General features: G+C 35.3%; 1 protein-coding gene across 3 annotated transcripts in view; it reads right to left on the bottom strand.

Moving 5' to 3' along the window:
- Nucleotides 1–12346, bottom strand: part of CBLN2 (cerebellin 2 precursor) — a 101841-nt gene extending 89495 nt beyond the window's left edge. For all 3 annotated transcript variants that reach the window (XM_006722394.4, XM_017025559.2, XM_011525824.3), the window contains exon 1: nt 12150–12346. The gene's annotated coding sequence lies outside the window, so the exon portion shown is untranslated. The remainder of the gene's footprint in view (nt 1–12149) is intronic.
- Nucleotides 12347–13039: the final 693 nt, after the last annotated feature.

Raw genomic sequence — 13039 nt, forward strand, 5'->3', positions numbered from 1 at the left:
TTGGTACAAGGCACTGGGTTTACAAAGAAGAATAAGAAATGATCTCTGTCTTAAAGAAGAAGTTGTAATTTATTACTTTCCCTGGGAGTATTTTTTTTAATCAGTAGGGACAATGTCATAAAAAATCCAACTCTTTACAATATTGGTATTAGTAGAATTTCAAATAAGAGACAGGTTAGTTTGGAGTTCTTTTGGTGACATCAATGAAAAGTATTCCCTTAGCCATACACTCACCTGAAAAATAGTCACCAATCCTTGATGTGTAAAAAAGAAGTCCACTTTGGGAAGTTGAGGTGGGTAGATCACCTGAGGTCAGGAGTTCGAGACCAGCCTGGCCAACATGGTAAAACCCCGTCTCTACTAAAAATGCAAAAATTAGCTGGGCGTGGTGGCGGGCGCCTGTAATCCCAGCTACTCGGGAGGCTGAGGTAGGAGAATTGCTTGAACCCAGGAGACAGAGGTAGCAGTGAGCCAAGATTGCACCACTGTACTCCAACCTTGGCGACAGAGTGAGACTCTGCCTCAAAAAAAGAAAAACAACAACAAAAAAGAAGTCCAGTTCATGATCCAGAAGGAGCCAAAAGGAAGACAAAACAACAAATGGTGACTCTCTGATTTGATGACCACTAGCTCAGGCAGAAAGTCTTGAAACTGAATTGTGGCTTTCATCCAACCTTCTGCTCAGCCTCTCTTTTTGAGTGATCCAAACTGAACCCAAGGATTTTTCACCTCATTTCAATATTTTGGCTTCTAATGCTGCAGGTTTGCTTGCCCGTGTTTGAACTTTATATAAATGGACACATGCAGTGTGTACTCTTTCATGTTGGCTTTCCCACTCAACGTTATTTTTGTGAGACATCCATATTGTGTCAGGCAGTTGGAGTTGATTTATTTTTACTGTTGTGTGATATTCCACGTGTAAAAACACAGAATATTAAAAAAATGAGTATCTATTGCATATCCATTGAATATTCAAGTGGAGAAATATGCACTGCATCACTAATAGACACAAACTAAAATTTACCCAAATGGCAATCAATAGCAGAATGGATAAATAAATATATTCGGGATGCTATTTTGACTGTTTGCTTTTCTTCAGCAAATGTAGCATAGCACACAGTACAGAACATATGTTATTCGAGGAGTTTCTTTAAAAAGGAAATGTGTCAGAAAACATTTTATATCTATATGAGGGCTTCATAATTGCATTGCTATTTTTGTTAGTAATATAATAATAATAATTTATGTAAGAAGATGTTGCTGCGTGGCAGGCCCTAATAGGACTATGCGTTGCTCAAATACTCTTCGAATGGGGAGCTCTGCTTGCTTTGAATACTGTTTATTGCTTTGAATACTGGCATCTTGATCGCCATAGTTGGTTGTGCTTCACCAAATCCCAGTAATTATTTGTAACAATCATCTGGGCCATGAGGCCGAGGGGCAGATACTTTGAGGACACTGTATTTATAACAAGAGAATAAGAGGGAGTGATCAAAATATGCGCAAGCACGATCCTAAAACCTTTTGAATGGTGATTGCACATATTAGTAATCATGACATTAGCTCACATAAGATCAGAGCCTTTCTAAAATTTTAAGTAATTTCACTGTCTTTTGTGCTACAAGTGTTAAAAGTTCAAAATTTTAAATAAAAGTTGTTCTATTTCTTATATGTATAGCTTCAGACATTGTTCTATTTTATGCAGTAATTTAAAAAATTATGTTTCTTGTCAATGTGTTTAATAAAATGCCTATGGCCAAATTTTATTACCAGGAATTTATTTGCATGGCTCTAAAACTGTCCCATTCTTTGCATTTTCTTATGTCTTATGTATTATCTCCTGTGGTAAATCATCAGAAATATGATTATGTAGTCTCTGAATTCTTGATGACAACAGTGATTTCTACCTCAACAGGGCTGCCTTGGTGGGCATGCAATCAGTCTCATCACATTGGTCCTGCCTGTAGAAGACTCCACACTTGGTTTAATGTTCTGCGTCACCATCTAGAGTCTTACAATTTTTTAAGAGATCCCCTGTGTGTTCATTTTGCATTGGAACTTGCAAATTATGGAGCCAGTTCTGACATTAAATAGAAACTGAAAAACTATTTGCAACAGTCAGGTTTTCCAGGAGGCAGGCTCTGCACTGGAGTTTAGTACATAGGATGTTTATTAAGGAGGGCTCTTGGGATCCATATGTGTGGGAAGGATGGGAAGGACAAAAAAATTGACAGAGGGAGAAACTGAGCTGTCATTCAGGACCAATCACAGCCCCAGCTGACCCCTCAGGGAGCTCAAGGGCTAGACTGGCCTGTCTGAATTGTCCAGCATTGGACGGAGATGGCCCGGCCTTTATACTCCTTCCCACCTCACAGTAATCAGGTAATGGATTTGGGCTGTTCCCGCAAGAGAAAGGGGTGAGGCAGTCTCTGAAAGGGCTGAGAGCCAAAGGGACATGTCAACAGCACTTGAGTCATCTCAGACAACAGTCCTTCATTGAAGGGGGAACTGTTTCACACATTTCGTCGTCCCCTACAGTCTTCTACATTTATGGACAAATGTTTGATTTCTGAAGGCACTTATGCATCATCTTCAAATATCCTCTTGGCATTAGGAATCAGCCAGTTTGTCACTATTCAATCATTTCCTAGCTGCTGGCTTATAAGCCGTTGCTGTTTTTCTTAAGTTGTGACAAGTTTTTACGGATCCATCTCCATATTCTCATTATTTCCCCTTTGGCCTGTGCATAGATTTATTTGTTGGATGGATATCTGTACTTAGAAATTCAGCCCATGGAAATGAAAAGGGGCAAAGCTGATTGAAGTGGAATGGAATCTATGACCTTGACCCTATTAAATATGCCTTGTAGACCAAACAAAATGACCCCATTTACCTTACTAAACTAAGCTGTTCCAGTCCCAGACAAAGAAGCGAGGACTTCCCAACCATCTGCTATATTTACAGGTAGAAATTTAAAGAGTCCACTGGTCTTCTTTTAAGAATAATGAAATCCATTTTTGTTGTTGATTAATTAAAAAAAGTGCTTAAGTGTTTCAACTATACTAACAACATAGCAGAATTTGAAGTGCAAGACAATTGTTCTGCTTGGTTTGCTTTATAAAACCAGAGAGAATATTGAAGAAGCACACAAACACAATCAAAAATTTAAAAGCATGTCCTAGAAACTAAAACTCCCAAACTTATATATAGTATTAGTATCCTTTATAAGAGTAAAGGAATTAAGATAAAGAAAACAAAGAAGATGAAAAAAAGGCAGTTCATTAATTAAAAAAAATAAAAATAAAAAGCAATGGCCTAGTGACTTCTAGGTAGAAAGAAGAAGAAGACAGATTACAATTGTTTTATGAAAACATTTCAGAGATGTTGGGTAGGGCAAAAAGAATAAATCTAACTTTAATTTTGAATTCATGATTTATATTGACTGAATTTATTGCTAATTCTTTTAAATTGAAGGCCCCTCAAAACATCTTGTTATTTGCAAATATAATGTTTGGACTCTCGGAAAGCCTAGATGGCAATATTTCTCTAGTAACTTGACTTCTTTTTCCTTAGGATTACATAAATGCTGGATGGTAACTTTATTTAAAGAACAGAAAAGACAATGTAAAAAATATTGTATAGATGTTTTCATTATTCTTAATATTTCAAATAAACAATTCCAAGGATCTCTAAATATTTCTGATACCACAATTTTTATATTTATATTTTTTATATTCCAGAGATACTGGAAATCCATTTGAACCAGCCAACTTGTCTCTTAACCAAAAGATACCAAAGTGGAAGTTATAAAATTAGCAGCTAAATTGTTATTGCTTAAAAAGGGAAAACAAAATCTTACATTGTATAATCTTAGATATAGTAGAAGTATCTGACTACACTAGCTGAAAATGTATGAATTCTATTACCATGGCTTCATACGCTTAAGATTTTGTACCTATAAAACTGTCAATCCCCTGGAAGACTATATACCAGCATGGTATCACTTTTTATACCACAAAATGAATTATCATTCGATGTCTAGATAGCAGCACTGGGGGTACAAAGGTGGACAGGAAGCTTAAGTGGGTCATAGAAAGGATTCATGCATGAAAACCCAAGTGAAATATTGTGATTAGTCCTGTCCTTACTTTTAGCATTATAATTGTCTTTTGATATGTCACTTGTCTATCTCTTTCATTACACAGCGGACTTCCTAAAGTTAGGGATTTGTTTAATCTCTCTAGCACACTGATGAAGTAAACTGTCAATGAATAATTACGGAAAGAAGAGATGATTACATTGGTGATATCTACTGCTCCAACACACACACACACACACACACACACCCTGCACAACTCACAACCCTCCCCCCCACACACACACACATGCAGAGAGAGAGAGAGAGAGAGAGAGGCTTTCTGTATTTAGACAAGAAAATTGAGATCCAAGCTGTTTAACTGACTTATACAAGGACACTTAGCCTGTTGACAGATATGATTATAACATGAAACCTCTTGATTTGTAGTCCAGTGTCCTTTCATAGGTACTAACTCTTTCTTCCTCTGCAATCATTTTAATATCTGTTGAATTCTTTGCTGGTTTCCTTCCTGTGGAACTGAAGGACGCCAACATTCTTGCATTACAAATTTTTCCCCTACTTTACTCAAACACATAATAATGGATCCATTCTTATTCTGAAATTAATACAAGCCATATATGCCTGCTGTGTGAAAATAGGCCTTATTGAATTCTAAAGCACTGAAGTGTAAGAGCCGTTATTAAATTGTTTCTGGCTTAAAACTAAAATCTTTACGGTAACGAAGAAAAATTGTTACCTGTCTAATAATAGGATGCTTGCCTCTCTCTCTCTAAGAAAATGGGTGGAATACACTTTGCTGTGGAGGACCTCAGCGACACAAACATACTAACAAGGAGATTAGATGCTTCGCAAACTTTTTTAGTAAAGAGACTGCTCCATTCTTTTTTTAATGGGCATTTTTGTTGCCTAGCAACGGGAACGTTCTAAAGCAATCTATACTGGCCTTCTTATGGGAATATATCAACTCAGGTGCTATTTATGGCAGTTAAGCTCTGGAAAGAAGACAAGAGGGAAAGCTTGTTTCATTTTGTTTTGATCCCTACTGTTGGTTCAAATTATATGGTCCCAATTTGACTTTCTTGGGGTTGCAAATTATAACATTGAAGCCTGATTCTATAGGTGCTCTATAGTTATTAAATGGAAAAGGCTAGTGTGTATTAAAAAAAAAAAAACTTTCCCTATTTTGCTTAATCTCAACTTATAAAATTATTCATTTCAAAATCTGTTCCAAATCCACAAAGCACTTTCTGGAATTGGGTGCTTGGAAAACATGGGGTGACTCTTTATCTCCCACACATCAGTATTTCTAAAGGAATCAGGGAATGGAAAATAACAGTGTCACATCTCAACTGACTTGGGCAAATCTGGGGATAGAAGTCCCGGAATTAGAATCTCAGGACCTTTGTTTGCCAAAACCCAACCCTCATAAAGCTTGACACTCCTGCCTTACACCAAATTTTCTCAAAACACCTCACTAGCAGTAGAGCTGCAAAAATTCATCTGAAATACACTCAGGAAATACAGTTCAAACACTCAGGAAATACAGTTCAAATTTAGGCACTACACAATGTAGCAGGGATGAAGTCTGAATCAGTAGCTTACAAATATTGACATATGTAATTTACAGGAAATTTAATATCATCATCTGATCAACGATTTTGATGTACTAAAATATGCCTTTTTGAATTAAAATTAGACTTATCTCCACTTTAGGCTATTTTCTTTTTTCTTATCCTCTTACCTCAATCCATTTCTAAGTTAGAAACTATTTTTTAGTTAATATTATAAATGAAAACAATCAAGAGTTATATTAGTATTTTTCATAGTTGAAAAATAGTAATGATCAAAAACAATCATAATTTACTTACTCTTTGTTAAGCATTTTCAATATTTATATACGTAAGGTGTGTGTAATTAATCAATATGAGAAGCCCTGAAGGGTAACTGGTTTAACATCATTCATACAAATTATAAAGGAGAGATTCAAAATTTTAAATGAGGTCTCTGTTTTTTGATAAGGTAATGTTTTACCTTGTTTGTTTGTTTTCAATATATAAGACTGCCCCAGGAAAAATTTAGTGATTTAAAAGTATTTTTTAATTGAAGTCAAAAATAAATCAAGCAAGCTTTCATTCCAAACATAGAACAAGTTAAATACCTCAGACTCCACTGATGGGTGTATGTATATGCTTTATAAATAACTTAATCATCTGTGATTATGTTTTCATTTTCTGCCTTCATGCTGTGAACTTTGTCTCCCAGCTCTCCTCCATTTAATCACTCTTTTACAATGTGGCCATGACTGTCTTCTTAGGACTCTATCTGATAATGTCACACACCTGCTTTAGATTTTTTACAGTATCAGATTACCAGGTGAAGTCCAAACTCCTTAACATGATAGAAATAAACTTAGCTCAGATGTCTCTTTCAAATGTTACCCTCTAGGCACTATTATTTATAGACTGGTATTCAGATTCAGTCACACTTGTGACCACTAGGTTACTTCAAACTCTCTTTGCCCATGCAGATCAAGAGCACTGACTGGTATCCAGAGAACCCCCAAAGAGCTGGTTCTGCTGTTTTGTAGCTGGATCTACAGGATAGGAAGCTCCTTGCAGGCAGGTCCCACACCCCTGGTAATTAGTACAGTGCTTGACATAAATTTTGAATAAATTAATGAATAAATGAACAAACGAATGCAATGTGATTTTAAACAATTCACTTAGTGTAACTATAGCTCAATTTCCTTGTTTGTTAAATGAAAAAGTCGCTTCGATTGTTTCATTACCTAATTTTGAGTAATAGTATAAAAAGTCGGGTATGTACTAAGTATTCAAAAAATCAACGGCGATTGTTACTTATTTCATTATCACCTTTTCTCTCCCTAGAATTTTTCTCTCCATCTACTGAAATCAACCTATTTTACAAAGAGTTGCTCAAATTTTGCAAAGCAGACTTACTTCATTCAGCATCTGTGTTGTTAAAACACTGTGGGCATACCTTTAATGTAGTTTTTAACACATTGTGTTGCATGTCTACGTTTATAGGATTTCTCCTCCACTGTGCTATGACTATTCCTAGGACCAGAGCCCTGTGTTACTCACCACTTTCCCAAGACACGGCTACATTTGTTACTTATAAGAAATGCTCCGTTTTAGTTGAATACAAAAACACAGTAGTAACAGGATAGTAGCTAGCTTAAAACATCACCAGCTTATTACTGTATCTATAATAGCTGGAGCAGCAGGAGAACTCATAGAGCAAAGAAGGGCATGCATAGGTAGAAAGGTATTCTCCTGAATACACAACTGAAATAATTTCTAAACATTCTGCTATAATAAACTAATGAAAAGTAATCAGAACAGTTATTGTGTAAAGATAACAATCTTAAATATGCCTTATCCTCTGTTTTGTTGATTCAGCTTTCACAGAACACTTCCAAATAATCTAAACTTGTGTACTTAAACATTTTAATTAAGGGATTTAAACTGCAAATTGAATTTTATAAACATGCATCTGACCTCTTCTTTACTTCGAAATTCATTTCTCGTAAAATCATAGATTAATAAATATTGTAAAAGCAATCAAATCAGTCAACAATTCTACTGTTTATGAATCTTGATGAGAGTAAAATAAATAATCCAGATTGCTCAAAAATACAAATAAAACTCTTAAAGAGCAATCACACAGGGGACAAACTAAATTACTCATGAATCCTGTTTTAGAGAAATTTTCTTTTATTGCAATATACAAACTTCTCTTTAAGTTATGTTAAATAAAAAAATAAAAATTCATTTTTAAAACAATAACCAATAATTTAATAATCTGAAAGAAGGAAATGTTTCTATGGCATGCACAATAAAGGTTTAGACATAAACAAAATGTATCCCTTTGTGATTTTAGAACTGATTTTACAGATGCCTTAAGTTCATCATTCCAGAATATACAAGGGTTTTTAAGAAGTTCTGTAAACAGTAAGTTTGTAGAAAGATATTACTGTAGGAGCCTATGAATCTACCCAAATATGTTAAAGGAGATTTAGTATTTCTTCTTTCTTTTTCAATCTATTTACTAACCTTTCTATTATGGCCAATGATATAATTTAATTCAATTAAATATTGTTTATTCCTTATAAAATAATCTATGTGATACATATGATACTGAGTTGGCCTAGATAAATTGGATAAGACCCTAATAATTATTAAAATTATAATATAAATTGTATCTTTCCTGGGAATGTAGGAACACATAAGGCCTGAGGGAATTACAATACAAAGGATGTGATGGACGTGCAGATAAGTATTCTATAATATAACATGCCAAGTGTTAGACAAGTGGTATTAATATTAAAAATTAGTTACACTATTCTGCATGGCAGGCTGGTGTCAGGGATTTATAATTGCAGCCACAGTGGCCTCCTGTGGCCAGGAGATATTTCTACAAAGTAATAATCTTTAGTTATGCTCAAATAAAATTTTACAGCTTATTCATACAGATTTTGCAAGTCCCTAAGCGTAAGAAGAGTGACAAGTTGTCCAGATAAACACTCTTCTTTAACATTTCTCTTCTGCAAGCATGTTTGCTTTTGGAGATTTGGAAAATCCAGTGCAGTCAAACAGGCAAAATGAACCACGCAGTTTTTGTTTTCTAGATGAACCCATTCTTCTTTGATCAAATTGACCAAAGACATGCTTCCTTCCTTTTCCCCCATTTCTTCCATGGCTTATATTTGTTAGTGTTAGTGCTTTCCTGAGGGCATGGGTTGTCTGAGCAATGCCTTTACTCATATTTTTCTGCACAGAGTTCCCACTCGGAAAATTGTTAAACACTCAATTGAGCTCAATTAATATTAAATTAGTTAAATAAGCTACTTGAGTACCGGACTCAAGTAGCATTAATTTCAGTCTCAAAATAAAATCAGTTTCAACCTCCCTAATGCAGTTTATTCACTGTTAGTATTTGAAAAGCAAGGTCTCTAACTTTGGTCAACAAATATTTTTTTCGACAATGTACTGAGCATCTGAAATATTCTAATTGTTCAAAGTGATGAATGCAAAATGGAACAAAACACACAAAAATTTGTTTTTATTTTCTTATATTCTACAGGATGGAGGCTAGAGTTAACAAGCACAAGAATGAATGTTAGGGGGTGTTAAGTGCTATGAAGAATGCCTTTCAAAGTAAAGTTGTAAATCTACGACTTCAGCACATTATGGCTTTCTTTTCCATATTTGTATTTTATCTTATTTCCTTAGGTCAACTGACTTATAACAATGTTTTATAAAAGACTGTGGAGCAGACATTTTTAGAAAAAACATTAACCTTTTAAGAAAAACATCATTTTTTAGGAAAATAAATATTATTTTAAAATCAAGTAAAATATTTAGAGAGTTTGAAAACAACAAAATTATTCAAAATTCAAGAGAGACTCAGATATTTATCTTTAAAAGTCCAACTAGGTTTGATGGAAATACCTTATTGAAAAAATGAATTCATTAGGTTATCATTTAAAAGAAACAAATTATCAAACCATACTTAATTCCATCATATTGGTAAATAAAGTGTCAGGGATCATATGTAATTATCTTCATGCACATCAATGGGGAAGCAAAAATAAAAGACAGTATAAATGTTTCTATAAAGGAATGCAACATCTGCCTACCTGCAAATTCTTTTAAGGTATAAATATAGAGGGAGATACATCAATTTACCCTGAATCAAATATGTTATTTATTTTTAAAGTTTGATGTTCACAGTGAAAAAGAAAAATCACCCTTTTCTTCATTTTAGAAATTTCCAAATAAATGATCTATGTCAAAAATACCCAGTGATATTTATAGTGTTAATCTTTGGACATTTACATTATCCAAATTCAAATTTAATTTTCTTTATAAAATGGAACATTATCTAAATAACACTTCACTGAAAATATTCAAATACTAGTTACGTAGGTATTGAAAATGACCTCACATTTTTGTTTAATTTTATTTTTACATAAGCAAGCATCTATTTTCTTCACTCAGTACACCTTATACAACAAGCACAACTGATTATTTAGCAAGTCACAACACGGTAAGTTAACGTAACATAGCCAATAAAATGATAAATGAAATTAATGATTAAGTGCCAAACAGATGATTCTGTTCTTTATGGCAGAGTGGTTTGGGCACCTTTCCCTGCATGAAAAGCATCCAGGGTGAGGGATGGTTGTATCTTTATCAAATTTGGGTCATTTCACCAGCTGGGCACAAATATTTTCTAAACATCCACGATATGTGGATATGCACATGGCAATGACCCTCCCCTAGAAGTCTCCCGTTCCCCGTGGTACATGTAAAATTTTTAGGTGGCTTATATTCTCATTCCCTTCAAAAGCAATAGATAACACCCAACTCTGGCTTTATATTTAGATTGAGAAACTATATACAATAAAACATTTAGAAGAAATTCCATGGCACAGTCCTACCATGAGTCTGGGTTTCTCACATGTAGAATGAAAATTGTTTCCACTTGGCATGGTTGTTGTAAGGAGTAAAGATACATTTGTAACACCCTGGTATGAAAAATTCATGACTTGAAATTTTATAGCTCTTGTCATTCTTACTATTGACAACAAAATTGGCCTTGGATTTTCACATTTAAATTTCAGTTTCATGAGCTTCAGTCATGCAGAAGCTCAATACACATGAAAAAAAAAATCTTAAATGTTTATCCCATTTAGGCAAGTAATCATGATCATAATCAGTGTTTATTAAAAACAAAACTGCAAAAAAAAAAAAAACCCAGTTGCAATGAGAAAACAGCTGAAGCAGCAATGAGGTAGGGAATGGAAAGCAAGGGGAATTTTATTTTCCTCTTATATGAATTTTGAAACTTAGCAACTCTGAGAAACAATTGTATTGTATTTTCCGCATATGTTTCTATTTTATTAAAGACAAAAATCATTTTTGATGAGTTTAAATACTTGCAGACAGCTCAAAGTTGGGCGATTGTGCCACAGAACAAGCAAAAAAAAAAAATGGCCCTCCTACGTATTTACATGGTATGAACTGGTTACCAGCTACCAGTCCCTGAAGAATGAATTGCAAAGAATCAGATTGTTAAGCAGTCAACTTGGTGACAGCAAATGCAAGCCTCTAAGACTCTGATTACATTTTCTGAGCAGATCCACAGCCCTGACACCCCAGCAGCTGGTGGTTTTTCTGGGCACAGAGGCTGGCGTGAATAGAAAGCGACAGCAGCGTGCTCCATGTCACATGTGAATGAACAGCTACCGTGACAGGAAGACTTTTCTTGTCAACACAATCACTGTGGCTCTGTGAGCCCCCGAGTTATGTGCTATTTTCCACTGGAGGGGAATTGGTACCTGATAAGTAAAGACTTCATTCAGTGAAATCAAAATACATGTATTAAGTGTCTACCATCGACAGGCACCACGATTACCCAGAGATTGACAGGGGAACCCCCCATCCCACCTCTCCTGGATCTTTCATTCCCTGAGAGAAATAGGGGAGAAAAGCAGTAAGCAGAAACCAAAGCCATAAATAAGATAATTTCCAAGAGTAGTATGTGGTATGAATAATGGAAACAATCAACGGGGCAAGGAGGCAGAGTCACTGGCAGGCGCTGAAGAAGACAGCGGAGCTCTGATGAGGAGCCAGCCGCTGAGACGAGACTTGAAGGATACGACGGAGCAGAATGTGAACACCAAGGAAGTGAGCATCCCAAGACTGTGGTAGGAAAGCTTGGAGGGGTTGTGGAAATCGCAGGTTTAGAGTGAGGGCCCTGCTATTTCTACCTGCATAATGTATCGTACATGTAAGAAAATGAAACGCCCACTGAAATAATTGGTTTGCAAAACAGCCTGTGGCTTCCAGTAAGTTCCAAAGGAATACTTATTACTAAGAAAGCAGAAGTAAATACTTTGCATTACATTTAGTCCTTAATTATTTATCACATCTCCTTGTTGTTCATTCCACAGTCTTTGGGAGCTGACCTTTGCTAGGATAAAATACTCACGTTCTGTCTAGCCTAAAGTTTTAACACGTACCTTGTCCCAATCCATTCCAGTACTCACAGAAAATGAAAATATGTCCCAGCAGATCTGAAGAATGTTGTCCAGTAAATTCAATTCATTTCTCTTTTATATCTAATTTCACTTAGGATCTATCCAATGACAGACTTGTTATCCTCACTGACGGACGCAAAGTCCTGTTGTACACTCTTAGAACATTTATGCTTATGACTAAATTTCAAGCTGCCCGTGATTCATCTGCTATTTCCCACATATCTATTTTAGACTTGCCAAGGGAAAAACAGTTATGAAATATGTTGTTCAAGCAGTGCTTTTTTTCAAATGACATATGCCTTATAGCTCCCCATGCTACAACAGAACATCCTGGGCAGTTTCTCTGTCAAAGTCACATCCACTGCTATCAGTAGAGTTGCCAGTGTAATATTTGGCAATGGGATATTACACTACCCAAAAGCAAGCAGTATTGTGAGCCAGAAACAAAATTCAGTAGTATTTTGAGAATTTGAGAGAGAACGGACAACTTTTCCCAACATGTGACTGTCTGATGGATGCTTCCTGGCTAGATCGAGTCTCCTGTGCGTTGACACCACATTATCAGACCACTTAGAAAAAGGCCAAGCTCTCAGATCAGACTGCAAGAATTTCCAGAGACCTCATCTTATTTTGAAGGTTCAGTTTCAGGCACAGCTCCTTTTTTTTTTTTTCTTTTTTTTTTGCAGAAATGGGTACTCAACAAATTACATTTGAGCAATTAAAGCTTTCAGGAATGAATCCTGATATGCAAATCATGAATTTGCAATTTTTTTTCTTAAGGTGGAGTGGTTTTAATTAGAAAAATACTACCTTGGGCCCAAATGAGTGCTTTTGTAATCTTTAGTTTATATCGTTCGTGTGTGTACGTGTGT

Source organism: Homo sapiens, chromosome 18, assembly GCF_000001405.40.
Source record: "Homo sapiens chromosome 18, GRCh38.p14 Primary Assembly".
Taxonomy (NCBI): Eukaryota; Metazoa; Chordata; class Mammalia; order Primates; family Hominidae; genus Homo; species Homo sapiens.